Source organism: Homo sapiens, chromosome 6 (genome assembly GCF_000001405.40).
Source record: "Homo sapiens chromosome 6, GRCh38.p14 Primary Assembly".
In the NCBI taxonomy this organism is placed as follows: domain Eukaryota; kingdom Metazoa; phylum Chordata; class Mammalia; order Primates; family Hominidae; genus Homo; species Homo sapiens.
In genome coordinates this window covers 51,611,317-51,633,495 of record NC_000006.12, presented here as the reverse complement: position 1 = coordinate 51,633,495, position 22,179 = coordinate 51,611,317, and the positions used below count along the sequence as shown (strand labels likewise).

At 36.4% G+C, this 22,179-nt stretch overlaps 1 protein-coding gene and 1 long non-coding RNA gene across 14 annotated transcripts in view; one reads left to right on the top strand and one right to left on the bottom strand.

Annotated features, from left to right (window-relative positions):
- Nucleotides 1-18,197, top strand: part of PKHD1 (PKHD1 ciliary IPT domain containing fibrocystin/polyductin) — a 472,317-nt gene extending 454,120 nt beyond the window's left edge. For all 13 annotated transcript variants that reach the window (XM_017010944.3, XM_017010945.3, XM_017010947.3 and 10 more), the window contains 3 exons: nucleotides 773-931; nucleotides 6,380-6,499; nucleotides 13,976-18,197. In XM_017010944.3, the coding sequence (XP_016866433.1) occupies nucleotides 773-931; nucleotides 6,380-6,499; nucleotides 13,976-14,415 (719 nt within the window). In that variant the 3' untranslated portion in view covers nucleotides 14,416-18,197. The remainder of the gene's footprint in view (nucleotides 1-772; nucleotides 932-6,379; nucleotides 6,500-13,975) is intronic.
- LOC101927082 (uncharacterized) lies at nucleotides 10,919-11,626 on the bottom strand. The gene is made up of 2 exons (NR_125840.1): nucleotides 11,570-11,626; nucleotides 10,919-11,136 (listed from the first exon to the last, which is right to left on the bottom strand). It is a non-coding gene; the product is annotated as an uncharacterized LOC101927082 (long non-coding RNA).

Genomic DNA, 22,179 nt, shown 5'->3' with positions numbered 1-22,179 from the left:
AGTTTGTTTATCCATTCCCCTGCTCAAGGACATTTGGGTTGTTCCTGGGTTTTGCAATGTACAGAGCTGCTAAAAACATTTATGTATGTGTTTTTATGCAGATAGGTAACTTTCTTTTTTAGATTATTTTATGACTCATTTCATAAATAATAATGGGGTGAGAAATTTTTCTGTCTCCATAAATGGGAGGAGTTTCAGATGAATTCTTACAGAGTTGAACTCTCTCAACAGGATGCTATCTTGCCCCATCATTCATGGCCGGCAGTTCTATCTGCCATTGTTCTAGTCCTAGTTTTCCAGATAACATAACTCTCTAAGACAATATGGTGCTGCAGCAGGAGTCCCTATGCCCCTGTTTTGATGTGTTATATGGCACGTATTGAGTAGATACATACATCAGAGCAAGTAATTTCACACATTCTGGAGCTGAGAATATTTTTATTCTCATTAGTGAAACATGAGTGAAAGAAGCTGAAATTTTGCATTGGTATGGAAGGTTGGTCTGAAAATTAAAAGAGAGAATTGGAAGAATTCTCAATCAATAATTGACAGAATTGGAAATAACTATTATGTGTTATTGTTGGAATCTTGTGATTCTCTAGAAATATAAATCTTGGATTTATAATTTATGTATTTATTAAATTTAATGAATATATATTGAACACCTACTATATCCCAGATACTATTATGAATGTATTTATTTTTACCATATTTTAATTATATTAGCATCTTATTAACATATCATTGAAACATCTTCTTTTCCCCGCCACAGGAGTCAATTTTACAGCTCGATCCAAGCCATTTGCTGTCTTGCCTGTGACTAGGAAGGAGAAGTCGACCATCATCCTGGCTGCTTCCCTGTCCTCTGTGGCCTCATGGCTGGCTCTGAGCTGTCTGGTGTGCTGTTGGCTTAAAAGAAGCAAAAGCAGAAGTATGTAGTTTTTTTTTTATTTTGGAATGAAAATTTCTGAAAAAAAAGTCATCATACATAACATATTAATGATTCTGTTTCTTTCCCCAAAGACAAATTTTTGTGAGCTTCTCTAAAATATAAAATTACACAAAGCCAAATTGTTCAATTAATACATTAGAGACAAGGATTGCCTAATCTTAAGTAATAATAGCAATAATAATAAAAACTCATGTTAACTAAATACTCACTATGGAACACATTCTGAGCACTTCAGATAAAGGAATTTATTTAATCCACACAACAACCCAATGAGGTGGGTGAAAAATATTGTAACTCACTTCAAAAAGTGAGTTAAAGAATCAGGGGAAACCAGCACTTTGGGAGGCAGAGGTGGGTGGATCACCTGAGGTTAGGATTTCGAGACCAGCCTGGCCAACATGGTGAAACCCTGTCTCTACTAAAAATACAAAAATTATCTGGGCATGGTGGCAGATGCCTGTAATCCCAGCTACTCGGGAGGCTGAGGCAGGAGAATTGCTTGAACCTAGATGGTGGTGGAGGTTGCAGTGAGCCGAGATTGCGCCATTGCACTCCAGCCTGGGTGACAGGAGTGAAATTCTGTCACAATAAAAAAAAAAAAAAAGAAAAAAAAAAAGAATCCGGGGAAATGTCATCCTCTCCTCTTCTCCTTTAAAAGGGGAGAGGGCTTAGTTTGTTTGTTTGTTTGTTTGTTTTTTAGCATAGGAATTAAGTAGGTTCCTAAATATTTCCCAGAAGTGGATGCCATTTTTTAATTTTTTAAAGCTGGAGACTTGTAGTCACTGAGGGAAAGAAGCTTTGTAAATGAAGCTTCTTTCTATCTTAGAGTGGAGGAGATAGGTGAGCAGATCAGGCATTGGCAAATTCCTTATTCCACCCATTCCCCCAACCCTAGACCAGCCAATGAGTGAAAGAAATACTTGTCTTACTAGGAGGCTCTACAAAACCAAAGTAAAAGCAAGAGTGAAGTTTAAAAGAGGAGAAATAAAGAGAGGCAAAGAGAAAAAAGTCAAAATAAAGGTGAGAGGAAGTAGCATAGTCCCACTACTACAACATTTGCTGGGCTTGGAGCTCTGAGAGATGCTTGGGAAAGGAGGCTCCACTGGATACATTTTCTGTATTTGAACTGAGCTACAGCCTGGTATCCCTGTTTCTCTCTTCATCCTGTTGATCAGGACTGGACTAACTACAAGGCAGCTCCTTGTCTTTCTGAAGAAGAAGGGGATCTTGACCTCGTTCTGCCTTATGTTGCTGTGATTTGCAGTTTTTTGTTTTTCCTTCTTAAAGTTCTATCTACATTCAGTGTATGTAGTGCTGTCTGCTTGTAAGTAGAATTTTCATAAATTTTTATCTCATGTAATCCCGTGAAGTAGGTGATTTGATTCTCATCTTCCATTTGGTATCTAAACCTAGTAGCCATGCAGGGGTCTCTCCCTAAGGTCTAACCTCACTTTTAATCCTAAGCTCTAGAGAAGGCTTTTTCTAACTCCTAAGCTCTGCTATCTCCACTTTTGATCCCCCAGCTCTAGACGTGACTTCTTCCTGTGTTTACAAATATATCTATTACTTCAGTGTCTTCCTTTTCCTCTTTCAACCTTTCAATATCTGTGGACACATTACCTTGTATGATATCCCCATATTTTCTTTACTGGGCACAGACTCCTAACTATGTTAAACAAACAAAAAAGATGTAAAGAAATTGCAAGGAACTTTATGAAAGTTTTACAGTAGTCAGATCTGTATAAGTGATTTGTATTTTCTTCCTTATACCTTCTGTATTTTATATTTATTAAGTTTCTAAAATTAACTTTCATTTCTTCAGAATCAGAAAAATATATTGTTCCACAACTTACTCATAAAAAAAGATTCTCTGGTTAAGCTATATGCTCTCTGTGCCTGTCATTTTCAATTTGGGTCTAAGGACCTTGTTATGCTTTCAATAATTGTTGAGAATCTAAACAACTTTTGTCTATGTGGGTTCTATATCCATTAATATTTCCAAATTAGAAGTTTAAACAGAAAATTTTAAATTTATTCATTAACTTATTTTAAAATAATACATGCATTGCATGTAAACATAACATTTTAAATTAAAAAGTTGTATTTTCAAAAAATATGTAGTGAAAAGAGTGTGGCATTCTTACAAACCTCTTTAATATCTTCCTTAATAGGCAGCTGGAATCTCTTGGCAGCTTCTGCATTCGACCTATTGCAATGTATTGTTTTTGCTGAAGTATATGAAGAAAACCAGCCTCAGTCAGATACATTGTAGAAAAGGGATGAGCATTTTAATAGCCTTTACAGATAATAGTGGACATTCTTCTTTCTTACTGCACCCAGACTTGACAAGAAGTAGTTACTTAAAGTGCCATCTCAATGGCCTTTTTGTACTTTGTTACATGAAAATCCACCAGTCTCATCATATACTTTGAATGGAGCTTTTATCCATGCATTATGCTTTGGTCATTTTGAAAATATTGTTTCACGGAGTCGTGAAGATCTTCTCAACGTTGACATATTTCATTCTACTATTCAAAAAGATCACATTTGTTAATAACATGAATCATTAAGAATTAGAAACCTGTGAAGCTCATGTAGTTGATACAAGTTTTCCCAAATTCCAAGTTTCCCATGAAAGCTTGAATTTTATCACTGGGAACAAACACTGTAAGTTGTTTCTGTTTTAGAAGCTCACTTCATTCATTTGAGAAAAAATAAAATCTGCCAAATATACAAGTATGAATAACCATAATTTCTCAATCATTATTTCAAGCTCTTTCAAGTAAAAATGGTGTTCCATGAAAAAATAGCTAGTTCAGCTCAAAATTCAATTGCAAAATTGCTTTTTCTTGGGAAAATCACATATGAATTTTAAATAAAATTTAATTTTCTTTAGTGCTTTATCAAAGATATTCTTAAGTAAAATTGGCTTTTGTTTTTTCTCTTCTTCTTGGTTTTTTGTTTTGTTTTGTTTTACTGTGATTTTATTTCAGGGTATATCCTTCTTGATCATGCCTATCCAAAAAATGTATACCTTGTGGTTTTTACTAGCATTTCTCTAATGATTAGTGATGATGAGCATTTTTTTCACATACTTTTGGCCACATGTATGTCTTCTTTTGAGAAGTGTCTGTTCACGTCCTTTGCCCATTTTTTTTAAATGGGATTGTTTGCTTTTTTGATTTTTGATTTAAGTTCTTATAGATTCTGGTATTAGGCCTTTGTCAGATGCATAGTTTGTGAATGTTTTCTCTCATTCTGTAGGTTGTTTGTTTACTCTGTTGACAGTTTCTTTTGCTGTGAAGAAGCTCTTTAGTTTAATTCGGTCCCACTTTTTTTATTTATGTTTTTGTTGCATTTGCTTTTGGAGACTTCACATGAAAACTTTGCCAAGGCCTATGTCCAGATTGGTATTTCTTAGGTTTTTTTCTACGGTTTTTACAGTTTTGGGTCTTACATTTAAATCTTTAATCTATCTTAAGTGGAATTTTGCATATAGTGAAAGGAAAAGGTCAAGTTTCATTCTTCTACATATGGCTAGCCAGCTATCCCAGCACCATTTATTGAAAAGGAGTCCTTTCACAATTGCTTGTTATTGTTGGCTTTGTTGAAGATGAGATGGTTGTATGTGTGCAGCTTCATTATTGAGTTCTCTCACCTGTTCCATTGGTCTATGTCTCTATTATTTTGCCAGTGCCATTCTGTTTTGGTTACTGTACCTTTGTAGTATAGTTTGAAGTCTAGTATACAATAAGATACCATCTCACACCAGTCAGAATGGCAATTATTAAAAAGTTAAAACAGTAACAGATGTTGGCGAGGTTGTGGAGAAAAGGGAATGCTGATACACTGTTGGTGGGAATGTAAATTAGTTCAGCCACTATGCAAAACAGTTTGGAGATTTCTCAAAGAACTTAAAACAGAAGTTTTCAACTCAGTAATCCCATTACTGGGTATATACCCAAAAGAATATAAATCAGTCTACCAAAAGGACACATGTATTTGAATGTTTATTGCAGCACTATTCACAATAGCAAAGACATGGAATCAACCTAGATGCTCATCAACAGTGTACTGGATAAAGGAAATGTGATACATATATACCATGGAATAGAATGCAGCCATAAAAAGAATGAAATCGCATCCTTTGCAGCAACATTGATGTGGCTGGAGGACACTAAACTAAGTGAATTAATGCAGGAACAGAAAACCAAATACTGCATGTTGTCACTTATAAGTGGGAGCTAAACACTGGGTTCACATGGACACAAAGAGAGGAACAATGGAGACTAGGGTCTACTTGAGTGGGGAAGGTGGGAGGGGGGTAAGGGTTGAAAAACTGCCTATTTGGTACTATGTTCACTACTTGGGTGATGAAATCATTTGTACACCAAACCCCAGTGACATGCAATTTACCTGTAACAAACCTGTACATGTACCCCCTGAACCTAAAATAAAAGTTGAAAAAGAAAAAGAAAAGGTCTATTTCCTACCCATAACTATCTCCTTTTCATGCCATGTTATGGCATTACTTTGCCATATTACAAATTTATTTGTTTGTCCTCTGCCATCCAAACTAGAATAAAAGCTCAGTGAGGGTAGGGATCAGATCTTTTTTACTCACTGTATTATTCCCAGAGCCTTAAACAGTGCCTGACATGAGGAATGTAAATATATTTTAGATGAATGAATTTATTAAATAAATGAATAGAAGATGAAGTATCTCTTCAGCCAGGAATAGACTGAAGATATACAATCTTCTATTAAAAGCCCTCCTCATCTTGCGTATGGTGGCTTGTACCGGTCTCAATTCTTTGGTATTGATATCATACTGTAGTTACACAGGTTGTTGACAATGGAGAAGGCTGGGTGAAGATGCTTGAATCCTCCCTGTATATTTCTTGACAACTGCCTGTGAATCAATACTCATTTCAAAATTAAAGGTTAAAAAAAGTATTAGTAATATTCTGTCACTAGCTAATCAGTTCTGTCCTACGGAAGTATAACATGAGCCACATATGCAAGGCACATATGTAATTCTCTAGTAGCCATTTAACATAATATATCAAGAATATTATTCCAGCATGTAATGAATATAAAAACATTAGTTAGTTTACACTTTTTTTCAAAATTGAGTGTGTACATTATACTTACAATACATCTCAATTTAACTAGTAACATTTTAAGTGATCAGTAGCCACATGTGTCTGCTATTTGTATCAGACAGTACAGTTTTATACCATAAAGTTGGTGGTCAGTATATAGGATTTTATGCCATTATTTCTTGAACTCTGAATATGTTATATGCTTTCTGTTGCATGTGTATGATAATTTTGGGACAAGGGTACATACAAGGGAAACACCTAAATGCTGATGGTCCCACTTACAACTGAACAAAAAAATCCTTTTTCTTCTCCATTAATACAGAAACAAAACCTGAAGAGATTCCTGAATCCCAGACTAATAATCAAAATATTCATATCCACATCTCATCCAAACGCCGAGAATCACAAGGGCCCAAAAAAGAAGACACTGTGGTGGGAGAAGGTAAGCTTGGAGGGTGGAGATGATCCCCACAGGAGAGACCCACTGTGGATGGTCTGAGCCTCCCTCTCCTTCAGCTCTGTCTCTGAAGCAATTTGGTTTATAGCCCCTTCTTAGTCTTTGTTACTTTCCTTCAAAGAAATTATACCCCAGCAGAAAAATACACAGGTCTGGCTGGTTCACTCAGCTATTCACCAATTATTTGAATTGATATTTATATTGTTTTTAGTAGAAGATTATTGGTTTAACATTTGAGTTTGTTACATAGAGGAAAGGGGAAACCAGAGTATAGGCATATAATCTTTCCTTTAGCTATTGCAAAGCTGCCAATTTGGCAACATTATTGAATTTGGGAAAGAAGAGTACAGTTGCCAAATACCAACTATGCAAATTAGATTGAGTACAGAACCCTCGACAAATGAGTCAGCTTTGTTAAGCTGTGCTTTGTTGTTTAGTTGTACTTTTAGCAAAATGTAGTATTTGCCTCTATGGTGTGTTATGTCAGATGATATTACTTGTTATATTGTTAAATTGCCATTAGAATTAGTGCCAAACAGAGAAAAGATAAGCATTTGCCTGGGATGAATGCTTTGCCCTTGTCCTACTAAGAATGCTGCAAATAGGAAGACTGGGCAGAGCACAAGATGGCTTTGCCAAGTATGGGTATGATACATGAAAAATATTCATATAATTTCCATGGGCCTGAAACGTTTTAAAACATATACTCCAAAGAGTCAATTATCATATTTTCTGCTTGAAAAGGCTTACCAATCTTAGTGGTTCTGAATGCGTGTTTAAGCAAAAAATAGCAGTCCAATGTTATTCTGCCTCTAAGTAGCTGAGTGAGATCTTTCATGTGTGTGTTTATGTGGGTGTGTGTGTGTGTGCATGCACACATGAGCATGAGTGTGTATCAGTTTGTTTGCTTGTTTGTATATTTTTCCATGAAAGAAATAAAGGTTTGTTTGTTTTTTTCAATTTTCCCATCGTATTAGTTAGCCATACTCCAGTTCCTGGACCTGCACCAGAAGGTGGTAGAGGGTATGGGGGTGTGGTTGGGAGTGCTATTGAAATAAATAGAGAAAGAGAGAAGGGGATGGGAATTATTCAAGATTCCATCTAAGATTATTCTAATTTTGGTTTTTAGAAGCCTCTTGACCATATTATTGCATGTAAACTCAGGACAGGTGTTTGAACGCTGCCATCTGAATAGCTCTTCGTATTCAGCTGCCATCTGCAGAGAGTGGCAGGAGCAGTACTAATCTCTCTCTTAATCTCATATGGCCATTTATGTGCATTTCAGTGGCCCGCTTAAATTAACTACATTATGCCGTCCACAGTGCCTAACTGTTTTATTAAGGAACTTTTTTATGTGGTGGCTTATTAATAAATTATTAGGAATGAGACAGGGAAAGGGCTCTGTGGAAAAGTTTAGATTGAAGAGAGGGGAGCATCAAAGAGGCCATTTTATTAGGACATACAAGTTAAAAATAGAAAAATGTGTTATCCGAATCCTCCTCTGGGGATCACAGCAGATTTGTTTCCTTATCTTCTAAGCTTTGTACAAATCTGAAGAGTATCGTTTTGAAGACAAATAATGAAGCATCTCCTGCTTTTCTTTGGAAATTATTACCAGCTATGAAACACCTACTTATTGGTAGCTTTACATAAATTTTGTTTCATTCTATTATTGCCATGGCACTTTAGTTTCCCTTTTCCCTCTGTGTTTTTAAACTTTTAACATTTGCTGATAAAGTGACTGGCTGTCTCTCTCTCTCCAGCACTTTGCCTTCACTAAGCACTGCCATAGCACTTAGGATTATTGAGCTGTTGGAACTGAGCATGACTACTAGATTCAGATTATAAATTTACCACATTACAGCTTTTACCAAAAATGGCATGGTACGGTCAGGGTGCTAGAAAGTTGTGATGGGGGAAGAAGATAGTAAAGTATACATCCCTCCTATTTTACTGTTGCCAGGTTTTTTGATATCAAGAGCCATCTAAGCCCTCTTTAAATCCATGTCTGCTCATGTCACTCTTCTACTCATAAGATTTAATGAATTCTCATTGTCAGTTGGAGAATCAGGAGAGTGTGACAGTTAAGAGCATAGAACCCAGAAGTCCAACAGACTGGGTTTAAATCTGACTCCCTGTTGACAGACTTTGTGGCCTCAAGTAAGAGAACTAATTTCTCCGTGTGTTTCAGTGTCCTCATCAGTAACATGGCCCTAGTGATACTGGCCATAGTTATGGTTATTATACAGAATAAGTGAATTGGTGTCAGTAAAGAGCACAGAACAATTTCAGGCACACTATGTGTGCTATATATGTGTTCACATCCAAGGGTCTTTTGGATTCCAGTAGTTATTACAACTGCTGGGGAAAAAAAAGACCCGCCCCTGCCTTCTTCTAAAAGAAATGTATTAATAGAAATTTTATCCAAGTTCACCAACTATACAAAAGGATGATGAATGCACATTTTTTTGGGGTCCTAACAGTTTTCTGCTGGCTGCTTTAGCTTCATGAGAATGACAGGGATAGGAAAGGACAGAGATAGCTTCATCTGGAAGCAAAGGAGCTGAGAACTAGAAATTGTCTCAAGTTCTCAGGAAAGCAAAACTATGTTTGGAAATTATTGATAAATAATGTGTCCATGTCATATAATAAAAAATGAACATTTTCTATTTTAAAACATGGATAAAATATAGTAGTTGTCCCACAAGACAACTTCAAAAAATAATCAGGAATAACAGCATGCCCACTGAATAAGATGAAGAGCCTGGTATGGTGGTATGCACCTGTATTTCCAACTATTCAGGAGGCCGAGGTGGAGGATTGCATGAGCCTAAGAGTTTGAGGCTGCAGTGAGCTATGAAAATATCCACTGCACTCCAACCTGGGCAACATAATAAAACCCTAGTCTCTTAAAAAAAATTAAAAAAGAATAAAGAGTTCCAATTCTATTTTCAATCAAGATCCAATATCATAATTAACAATGGAATATTAGAGGAATTCATATTCAAATGAGGAAAACACATAAGTCATTCTTACCATAATTTTATAACATATATTTTGGAATGCTAAGAAACACAGCATATATAAAACAAATTGGCCAGTCATGGTAGCTCACACCTGTAATCCCAGCACTTTGGGAGGCCGAAGTGGACAGATCACCTGAGGTCAGGAGTTTGATACCAGCCTAGCCAATGTGGTGAAACCCCGTCTCTACTAAAAATACAGAAAAAATTAGCTGGGTGTGGTGGCACATGCCTGTAGTCACAGCTACTCGGGAGGCTGAGACTGGAGAATTGCTTGAAACCAGGAGGTGGAGGGCGCAGTGGGCCAAGATCATGCCACTGCATTCCAGCCTGGGTGACAGAGCGAGACTCCATCTCAAAAAAATAAAAAAAATAGATAAATAAAAATACAACAAATTAGGAGGACAATGATGGAAGTTGTTTGCAGATGATATGCTTTTTTAAGAATAACTTAAAAGATTCAACCATTAACTACCATGATTTATAAATATTTTGAATAACTCACTCAAATATAATGTCAGTCCAAAAAATTGTATAGGTCAATGGTATATATTTAGAAAAAAAATAAAGAAATGTACAATAGAGACCAAAGGATATACTGCCTTGAAAAAAGTCTTAACCAGTGTTATGTTGAACCTATATAAAAATAAACTATAATTTATTAAATAGTATAAAGAGAAGACTTGAATACATAGGGAATTATAGTATGTTTCCAATTAGATTGACTATTATTGCAAATGCCTCAGTTTTTCTCAAATAAATGGGATTAATGCAATTCCAATCATTCTTTGCAATGTTGAATAGCATAAGATGGATTCCAAAGTTCATCAGAAAATATAGACTAATGATACAAAGCCAATTTTCTAAAATAAATAGATTTTATGATAGTGGAAATGGGTAGCCCTATCAGGGAAATAATATTTATGTCACTATTCTTAAGATAATGTGATTCTGTTACAAGAATATATGGGCACATTAGTGGAAATAGCCCCAATTAGGTAGATATAGATATCATATATAGGTAATAGATACAGGAATGAAATATATAATAAAAGAGAAAATAAAAGTAAATATAAAGGAAAACAGTTTATAAAAGGTTTAGCAAATTTGACTATTTAGAACATTTATCAGTCTCGATTCACATTTTATAAAATATTACAAAGGAAATTCCAGATGGATTAATGAGTTAAATTAGGTTTACTAAAACATATCCATTTCTAGAGTATCACAAAAACAATAAAATGCAGATTACTTATGATATAATGTGCAACTACAGACATTTTCCTTTTTATTTTTCTCTAATTTTTATGCCTCCTCAATTGTCATACATTGCTTATTAAGAAGAAATAATATTTTTCACATAAAGGAACAAATTCTCTAGAGAAGATAGAAGCATTAGTATTTAATTATGGCATATACATTCCCTGATATGTGGGCAGGACTATTGCCCATTATTGACAAATGAGAAACCAAGATGGTTGATTCTTGTTGTTGGTTGATCTGTTTTTCATCCTTCTGCTTCAGATCCTGTTTAGGCTCAAAAGTCCAGGCTTTCTGTACTGAATCCAGATCATCCAATACTGAATGTTGCACATGGAACTAGGCTCAAAAAATATGAACAGGGTAGGGGGAGGTAGAGAGAGAGAGGGGAGATTCATTGTTAATATTCTTATTGCAAAAGAAGCCAGTGACTAGTACCCACACAAATTTTAAAAGTCAAAGGCACAGTGCATATTTGCTGCTCAAGAAAGTTTTGGAAGTTGGAAGAGGCTAAGGATAGCTGGAAAAGCTGTAGCTGACTGTGGGTGGACCCGAAAGAACCCAGAACCAGTGAGTCCTCCTTTCCATAGAGAAGAGATATAGGTTCCCCATATTGTATCCCATTTTCCCTAAAACTTGATCAAATCCACCAGTGGGATTCTAAGAGGCATGGAGGAACAGTTTAAAATCCCATCTTTTCATTTTAATGGGAACTCATCAACAAGGCAGAGGTGGAAAGGAGGCATGACAATTCATATGTTTTGATACTCACTATCCTTCCTTCCCTAAAACCCAAACATTCAGCTGAATGCCTTAGGACACGTATCTGCTATAAATTCATTTTTTATCTAATTTGTCTGAGATCTAAGCTTCCTGTGGAGGTCCAAGATCAAAGGATTTGATTCCTTCTGATGTCGGCGCTGACACATAATGTGTGCTGACTTAGTTCTGTCTATAACCTCATAGTAGGAGGTGGCCAGCCTCTCTGGGCACCTTTACACAGTGAACTTTCATTTCGGCTGGGGAGTCTGTCAGGTATGTTGCTGATTGGAGCTGCCATGTAAATAATTCATGGGAGATTTTTAAATGTTTTGGGGTCTGCAAAGGAAAGCTATGCTTGTGTTAGTCTTTCATGAATAGATGCGGACTTAAAGAACAAGGGGGAAAAGATTTCCAATGAAGGTCTCTCAAAAACAAGATAACAGTATCTTCAATGGGTTGAAAATAGGCGACTTGCAGTGTTTGATTCCTCTTGTATGAAGCACTATTGGTTTTACCAAGGGATTAAAATTCAAAGCCTTTTTTGTCTTTTTAAAGTTTGCTTCTACCTGATAATTTATTATTCTTGTTCTTTGGTTATTTGCTGATCCTGATAAACTATGTCTTTTCCACCTGGTGGGAGCAGTAATTATGGAGATGATGCCCAGCTCAGTGCTTGGCAGAGGACTGGGCATAATGAGGGAGCAAGGTTGACGGCACACAAACATTTCTTCCTTGAAGGAACTCAAATTCCTAAGAGGAAGATGAGACTGTTACATAAGGAAAGGTGACTAATAATAGAAGCAACTGTGCAGGTCAAATGAGAAACTCCAGACAAGTATTGAGGCATAAATCAATGTAGTTTGAGCTGTGAAGAAACACTTCTGGAAGGAGCTGCAGGTTCCTTAGGAAAACTAGGGTAACCTGAAAGTTCTTATAGCTCTAAGCAAGAGAATCATCCCATAGTTTGATGGCTGTAGAAGATACATGCTAGACAAATGGACTGTGGAACAGGAGACAGAAAATGTGAATAACATGGGCTTATCATAATATTAGTAGATGTGTCATGGAAATAATAGGAACAACATGATTATCTTTTTTTACTGCTCTAAATCAAAAGCATTATATATATATATATACATATATATATATGTATATATAATGTTATTACTTTCTCTCATCCTTACCTCATTTTCCAGATTAAATTGAAGTGGGAAATTGGTATTGTCTATCCCAATACTGTCTCTTATAGTATGAATCAGACAGGATTACTATCTCCTAACACAAACCAAGACAGCTCTCAATGAACTCAGGAAAAAAATAACAAAAAGCTTAATAAGTTAAGGATCTTCAATACATACAAATGCGTGGTTAATGTATTTGGTGGTGAGATGTGAGAAAAGCAGGGACAGTAAACGTAGTAAAAGTAGATGACAGTATTACCATCTACCCCCCAGGGTTTAGGACAAGTTCAACCTTTTTCTCACTGTAAGGCATATGAATAGTGACCTTTGCATGCATGGTATACTCCCATGCATGTATCCCACTGAACATTCTTAACTTTCCATTGCAGTCTTTATCTTTACACAGTATTATATGGTGCCTAGATCATCTGTTTATGTATATTGTACTCTTCTGAGTTGATGTTTAGGTCTGTTTAATAGAAAAATAAGAGACAAATAAAATGTCAAAGAGGAAATCAATTAAAACAACATTGTTAAAATAAATATATTTTAGTAAATTTTGAAGTAGCACCTGAGAATAAATTAAATTATGCAACTAAAGCCCAGAGAGGCTGAAAGGATGAAAGTCATGAAGCCAGATAGCAGGAGAAGGGGAACTTGGGCCTAATTTTGTGACTTGAGTGTAATGTGCCATCTCTCTTTCTACTGTTATGCAACCATACATGTACACACTCATATACATAGATGTTTATGTGATTATTTCTGCAAATATTTATATTCATGTTTTTATAATACCAAAGATATTTACATTGTGAACTTGGTATAAGAGCCTAAGTATTAGATAGGACTGGTTTTTATAGTTCATATCTCTTAACACAGGTGTGAGTTGGCCTGTTGGTAAGTTGGCCTGTTGGTAAGTTGGCCTGTTGGTAAGTGTGAGTTGGCCAGTTGGTAAGGCCTGACCATGGTCTGGTTTTTGCATTGAAGCCTAGCGCTTACAATGAAAAATCCTCATTCAATTATCAACATCATGTAAGTATTTTTTGAGGAAGAAGTATTACCAATTTTTTATTACATATTTGGAGTGTCTGATAAAAGATATTTGGAAATCAAAGAGCTGATGTAATTCAATCTTTGATTTGACAATATCTTGTCAGAAATGCTAAGTATGCAAAATGTGTAATTAACTGGTTGAAAACTAAATCCATTTCTTCCCCTATTTCTTTTCCCCCCAGATATGAGAATGAAGGTCATGCTGGGCAAGGTGAACCAGTGCCCCCACCAGTTGATGAATGGAGTGTCCAGAAGGAAAGTTAGCCGCCACATTGTCCGAGAGGAAGAGGCTGCTGTGCCTGCTCCTGGTACTACTGGCATCACATCCCATGGGCACATCTGTGCTCCAGGTGCTCCTGCTCAGCAGGTGTACCTGCAAGAGACTGGGAACTGGAAGGAGGGCCAAGAGCAGTTGCTCAGATACCAGCTGGCAGGCCAAAATCAGCTGCTGCTGCTATGCCCAGACTTCAGACAAGAGAGGCAGCAGTTGCCAGGGCAAAGTCGGCTGAGTAAGCAAAGTGGCAGCTTGGGGCTTTCCCAAGAGAAGAAAGCCTCCTGCGGGGCCACTGAGGCATTCTGCCTTCATTCAGTACACCCGGAAACTATTCAGGAGCAACTGTGATCAGGGAAGTTGGGGGCATTTGGCCTGAAAGGCAGAATGTTCCCAGTATTTCTGGATAATAAGCTGGGGAAGTGAGGACTGTCCTGCTGGGACAACTAAGAAGAGAGAATGTGGACTCTGAATCCCTTTTTCAACTTTAAAATGGAAAACAGTCATATAAATGCTTACAGACTGAAAAATGTCTCATACATATTTTGCAGCTATCATGATCCTAGTTCAATGCTAGGCAAATAATGGCACTTGTTAATTATTTACCAGTTTTTAACTTAAGCCTGATTTTAACAACTTGATAATGGTGTAATACTGACTTATACCAGCAGGGGTTATTATTAAGCATTCTCTGGATTGACCACCCACAATGCTTTGAGCTTCTTTTATAGAAGGGATCATGAAAAGGTCTGGTCAGCTACAGTTTAATTCCACACTGTTACAGAAAAGCATTTCTTTATCCTGTAGTAGCATTTGAAGGGACAGTTCAACACCCTGCTCCCTGATCTGTCAGAGCTTACCTTCCAACCACAAGGCAACTTCCTGGCTTTTTACAAGTGGATTTTATTTCATGGTTTAAATTCAATCATTATTGAGAACCTACAGTAGTGTGAGCGTATCAAATTTGCACTTCATGAGGATTTACACATGAAAATTGATATTCTCATGGGCTTTGCTGAGAGTTTAGTTAAGGACAAAGATGTAAAAATGCCAAATTTGGGAAAGGAAATTTTGTATGACCACTGTTCTATTTTTCAGTGATTCTCTCTGTTAGTAGCTGGGTCACATTTACAACTGGAAAAGAACTACATTGGGAGATCAGAGAAAGCCAAGTGGCCAAGTCCTTTATCAAAAAGCTGCTTTTTGGAGAAGATGATGCATAAAGCTGTGATACTAAGGAGAGGAGAGATTATGTCATATGCAACTGCTCTAGGCTGTGCAGGGGGTTTAAATGGAGATCAGAACAAAGGCTCACCTGGTATTGATACATTTGGTAAGGTTGTTAAAGGCAATTTCACCAAATTCACACATTTGTACGGGGCCCATTTCTTTTCAAACTGAAGAATACTTTAAACAGCCTGACTGTGTCCTTGGCTCTGGATCCAGAAGGCCTTATGCTCCAAGCATGTAAAGAAAAGATCGCAGGAATGTGGAGAGCTTCCAAAAAGAGATTGCTCTCAGATTTTCCTGAAAATCCTGAAAACCAGGATTTTCCAATCTCTACAATGTTAAGGGGTTGTTGTGTAGTTGCATTGGAAGAGAGAAAGGAAACACACTCTTTCATTGCTGAATTCTAAATAATGATGCCCTGAATTAGTTCTATGAGAAGTACTGGCAGACAGCTGTTATGTCTGCAGGGCATCAAGGGGCAGGTGTGTCTCACCCTACTAAGAATTGGCAGAAATGTTTTAACCTCTTCTTTAGGCATCTGGTGAGTATTGCAGATCTTCAGGCTGTCCCTAAAAGGAGGTAGGTAGCCTTCTCTGTGGTCACTGTGTTGGATTTGGAAGAAAATATAAGTAGATGTTAAGGTCAGTGCTCTCCAGGAGATTTCAATCCAGGCTATCTGTGTTCAGGGAATGATTTGCAAGAAGTTGGTTTATAGACGTTTACTCTGGAGGCACAAGCTGGCTGCCATGCTGAGTAAGTCCTCTTTGTAGATGATGTATTTTGCTTGGGCACCAACAGAATTAAAAACGAAAAACAAAAAAAAACTCGAATGACTTAGGCAGAACATGCCTTCCCTAGTTTAATTAGTCCCTGTTATAACCAGTTATTTATCTTTTTTTGTAGATTCTCGGTCTTGAAGTCATTTGCCTTTGCAATCTCTACTTTAGTATACTCATTGGATCCTCAAAGAGCCGTAAGCTTTTTGGAAAAAAACATTTCAGAAGTGAAGGCTTTTGAGGTTTATAAAATGGTAGCAGTCTTAGTCCTTGCCCTGCCTCAGTTTACCTGCACATGCTTTCTTTCATTTCCTCGGATTCTTTCACCACTTTTTAAGTTTTTTTTCCACAGGTATTTTTCCTGAGCTCTATACCATGCATTTAGCTGCCTAGTGAGAATATCCAGTAGGTTATCCTATAGTTACTATGAAGTTAACACAGCCCAAAAACCTACTTCTCCTTGTGTTTTTTTCCAACTCAATGAATGACATCACTGCACTCAGACCAGAAATCTAGAAGTCAGTCATGACTCTTCATTCTATTTCGCCCTTCACAAAGAGTTAGCTGCCAGCTCTGTTATTTCTGCCCCTTCTTTACCCTTCTTCCAATTTTTATTATCTTCTTATTTATCCTCTATGTGTCACAAGACCAGTCTTTCTGGGAGGCATGTTTTATCCTATCCCTCTGCGTAGGAATAACCATAATTATCTTACTAATTCCATCCCAGAAAAGCCTGTGATCCCTGAGGCCAGAATTGACTCTTTGGGCCTAAATAGCAGCTATAAACATCTTCAGTAACTTGCCAGGCTCTAGCATGTGGCATGGAATTTTGGCATCTAGCTAAAATTCCTCAACCCATAGTTAAGCTACTCCTCTTTCTCCTAAAAAAAAAAAAAAATGAGAGAATTAGGGAAACACCAAAAGCAAAGAGAGCAGCTCTATGTTCATTCATGTCTGGAGATGAGCCAATTTGAGCACCACTGTAGGCCAACTCTAAATTTATTCAGATCGTTAACATGGGTAACCCAGCAAATATTTCCCAGCAGTGACAATCTACACCCTTTATCTAAATAAATATTGAGATGTGCTTTTTTCCTGTGTTAGTTCAAAGAATCTCTTCTTGCCTCCCATTGCTGATTTTCTGTATTGATGGACTCATTTCTCTCAAGAGATTGGACAAGCTAAAATTCTAGAGAGTTCAAAAGTGTTTGAAAGTACATTTTAAGTGTTCTCACCACAAAAAATGCTAGTGTGTGAGGTGATACATATGTTAATTAGTTCAACTGATCCATTCCACAATGTATACATATTTCAAACTATCGAGTTGTACATGATAAATATATACAATTTTTATTTGTCAAATAAAGAACATCTATAAATATTTATAGATTTCAAAATTGAGAAAGAAGTATATATGGAGCCACGGTTGTTTTGACCATTTCTCCATGCTTTTTGTTTGGGGAGGGGGACATTTTTTGGGGGGCAGGGACTGTGTTCAGGGAAAGTACCTGACCAACAGAACTTCAAGTCTCTTCCAGAGTGCGAGACTCAGCTTATCTGATCAAGGTGAACTTGCCCTTCAATAGACTTGCCCTTGTTACTGCCCAGTGAGGCCACCAAGGACCAAGAACAGTTGAGCTCTCTCAGGGCCTTCCCCTTTCAACAATTTAGTTGAATGACTCCCTTCCATCTATCAGTCTTACTCCAAATATATGAAATTACTATACATTGAAATGCCTGCAAACTATATGCAAAAATGAGTATGAGGAAATCAAATGTAAATCATATGCAAATATTATTCAACCAAGCTTCTATAAAATTGTACGTGTCAATAACAGTAAAGAATTTTAATTAATTCTGTCATTTAAAATTCATGCATTCCATATTTTGCTTTCAGAACTTATAGTCTATGCCAATTTTGAAAAAACTATAAGCACAAGGAATTAAATACTATTGAGTATAGAACTGTTGATTTCAACATACACTATAGCACTTTGACTAATTACAGATATATTTGATAGAAAAGTCACATTTCTACAAGGTAATTTTCAAAAAGAAATAAAACATTTCTGTAAACTTAAATGTGGATTAAGTGGCAGAATACAGAGATTTGAATGTTTACAAATATTCTTCTAGCATTTGTTCTTTTTATTTGGTGATTTCTTTGCTCGGAACAATTTAGAACATTTATTTAATGCATTTTTAGGACTTTCTAGATTTTAAGGGATTCAAATAATTAATTGTCCATACATTATCTCTTATCAGTCCCAAGATAATCTTATTTATTATCACTTTACATTTTATTTCAAAATTAGTAGCTATAACAAGGTGAAGGAAATACCTACTCTTCTCTCCATTTTATAAATAAAAAAGTCAGTTGCCATAACTTTGTTAGGGTCCAAGGCAAATTACAAAAATTGTTTGGACTATATTTTTTCCTTCTAACATTTCCTCAAGTTAATGGTATGTCATTTAGTAGAATGACTCATGTAGAAAATTATTCAAGTTATGCTGTTATAGTAAAAAAAAAAGCAAATCTCAAAACCATCTGTATAGTATGCTTTTACTATAGTTTGCTTATACATAGAACAATTATGAAAAGATAGTCAAGATAATTTTGTAATAGGTACCTCCAGGGAATGGAGTAGAAAATATGGGTTGATTTGCACTTCAAATCTTATATCCTTTTGTATTTCAATACTTTTATAAATACATTTACTATTAAAATAAATTTTAAAATATTTTCTCCAAGTTATGATTGACCAGAGATTGGCAGTCTCTTTAGATCTCAGCCAGGGATGGGACATGCTTACAGGAAATGCTCTTAATCTTTGCAGAAATGCTTATAGAAAATGCTGTTAGTCCTTGAAAAACTAAAATAGATGCAAAGGAGAAGAAAAAGAGTCTGAGTGGAAGATGAATGGACTGAGAAAAGAGGCCAGGGAGGAATAAAAGGAAAAGTAAGGGAAGTCTATAGGTGAGGAAGAGAAGGTGCTATGGACAATAGTGGTTAGATTGTGACTGGGTCTGCTTTACTACCACAGTGTCCCTGGGTTATTATACAAGGCATGTCACCAAGGGTTCCATTTGGGTGAAGGGCCTATAAGGAAAAATCATATATAGTTATGGCCTCAGTATCACTCCTAAAATCCAGATATAAAACAGTCTCCTTCTCATCGCAGTCTTATAGAGGAGACCCTGTGGAAGCAGATGTGTACCCCAAGTCAACATAATACCCACATCACTGAGACATGCCCACCCAATAGTATGCCTCCCTCCCCCATGTTAGTGCCACCTTGTGTATTTCTTCCAGTCCAGCTCCATGAGAGCTTATTCTAAGCCTATACTATGTGATACTGATATTCAGTGCTGCATAACATTTTGGTTAAAAATGGACCACAATACAATGGTGGTCACATAAGATTATACCATATTTTTCCTGTACATTTTCTATGATTAGATGTGTTTAGATATATGAATACATACCATCGTGTTACAATTGAATTTGGTTCAGTAACTTGCTGTACAAGTTTGTAGACTAGGAGCAACAGGCTATATCATGTAGCCTCGGTGTATAGTAGGCTACACCATTTAGGTTTGTTTAAGTATGCTCTATGATGTTTGCACAATGATGAAATCACCTAATGGTGTATTTCTCAGAGTGTATCCCTGTCATTAAACAATTCGTGTGTGTATAACCCTGAACACAAAGGTCTGACTCTTGGTAGCAGCTATCACTGTATACTTATCAGGGAGGTTCCAGAGATTCAGGCTCCTGTAATAGAAGCTGAAGTCAAGAGGCTGTGGGCTTTAATTTGCAAACAGTGAATGTGGCCTGAGAAATAAGATTCTCCAAAATTTTTAAAAATTGTTGCATGAATAAATAATCCTAGCTGCTTATCTGTAGTTTGGAGAACTCTAGAAGTGCTATAAATTTGGGCTATACGTCTAATAATACCAAATATCAAGAGTTTCTCCCACCCATATATTTTTATTGTATTTTCAAGGATGTCACTGCTTCGATTATCCTCTCCTTCCAGGATCATTAATCTCTCCCAATCTACTGGTTTACTCCTGTGAGTATCCAACATGGTTAAAAAGCTCCCACTATTGAAAAAAAAAAAAAAAAAAAAAAGAAAGGAAGAAAGAAAAAGAAAACATTCCTTGATTCAATAGGCTTCTTCGAATCTCTTTACAATTTTTCTACCTCCACTCCAGCAAATTTGTTTGAAAGACTTTTGTTCACACATTTTATTACTTCCTTGGTTTTCATTCACTCTACCAACTACTTCAATGCATCATCTGTCTCCTTCATCTCTCTCTTTCTTTCTCTCTCTGCCATATGAGGACACAGTGAGAAGCTGGCTGTTTGTGAACAAGGAAGAGGGCCCTCACCAGCATCCAAATCTGCTGGCACCTCGATCTTGGGCTTTCCAGGCTCGAGAGCTGTGAGAAATAAATGTCTGTTATTTAAGCCACTCAGTCTATGGTAGATTGTTACAGTGGCCCAAAATGACTGAGACATTTTTTCGTATCATCAATATTGCATATGCTTTCCACTATGTTCTTGAAAGTGTATATTTTAAAGGTTCGCGAGCTTGAAATGGTATCTTATTTTTTTAATGCATTAAATTTAATATAATTTTACACTCCTGCCTCAATGCAGTCTCACCCATCCAATTTTTTTTATTGGATAGTGAGATTGGTAATATCAACCACAAATTATATTAACAGCCATTTCAAGTTATTCTTTTAATATTTGTATTTTTTCTTTTAAAAACGATTTTAGTGTTTGCATTTTGTTTTATAACCAAATGTTTAACAACTATTTGGATGTATCTTTATGTTGAATTTACTCCTGTGTTACTAGATAATCTTTTATTATCATGGCTTACCAATTTGTGACCCATTAATCACAGTTATATCTTAATATGTTGAAATAAATCTTCTAGTAATTTTTTTCAAGTAAGTTACATGGGATATATTATTCCTTAGCCCCTTTGTCATAAAAATGGCTTCATACATGGAACCTTTACTCTGTAAAATTCTGAAAACATCATTCGAGTATTTTCTAACTTTAGTGTTTTAGAAAAGGTGTCAGAAACCAGTGTGAGTTGTTTCTGTGTAGGAATAATTAGAAAATGATACTATCTTTTTTCTGTTATTTAAACATTTGGGCACTTCTTTCTACAGATTCAGTTCTCTCCAAGTGATTCTATTGCCTATCCTCCTTGTATACTAGGCAATAATAATTGCAAAAAGAGGGAAATAATATTTGTAATAAGAAAAGAAGTATTCATAGGGAAGGAAAACTTAAGTATGACTTAAAATAATAGATACGGTATAAGTAGATAGGGAAGAGAACCTTTCAGATAGGAGGAAATATATAAGTGTGACTAGAAGAGTTACTGATTCCCAGATCATGGATTCATCAGTGATGAATTGCTATAGAGTACAGGAAATAAACGGCTGAATGAATAATTAATAACCATTTTAAACATGTGAAATTATATTAAAAAGATGGTAGGTGTGGTTTCAATTCAGATTGGGCCAGACGGAAGAATATCCACTGTAACTGAAGAGATTAGGTATTAGGAAAGAATTCTACTTACTTGGAAAGAAGTGCAAGTATTATGAATATTTCAGCATCCTACTCTGTTGATATTTTTAAGGCATGGTTAAATGTTTCTTCCCTAGTCTAATTTATACACTGGGAGATCACGGAGTAAATGGTCTCTAAATTTCCTCTTTTCTTGATATGCCAAATGAAACTTGCATCAGACATATACAACACCCCAGCTGATACTGTACCTTTAGACCTAGTGAATAGAAGTTTCTGTCCTAAATTCTGTGCTCTAGAGGGCTCCACTTTGACGTCACCCCACCCCTAGCTACATTTCTCACACAGACAGGGAATCCATGAAGTCAAGGGGATGTGCCCACTTACACACCATGCCCACTCCTTTTAGACCATCCATTGCATGCTCAAGGCTGAACTGCCTGCCCAAACAGCCCTGAGCCCTCTGGACCTTGCAGAGGCTTTTTTTTTTTTTTGACCAAGTCTTGCTCTGTTGCCAGGCTGGAGTGCAGTGGCCTGATCTCAGCTCGC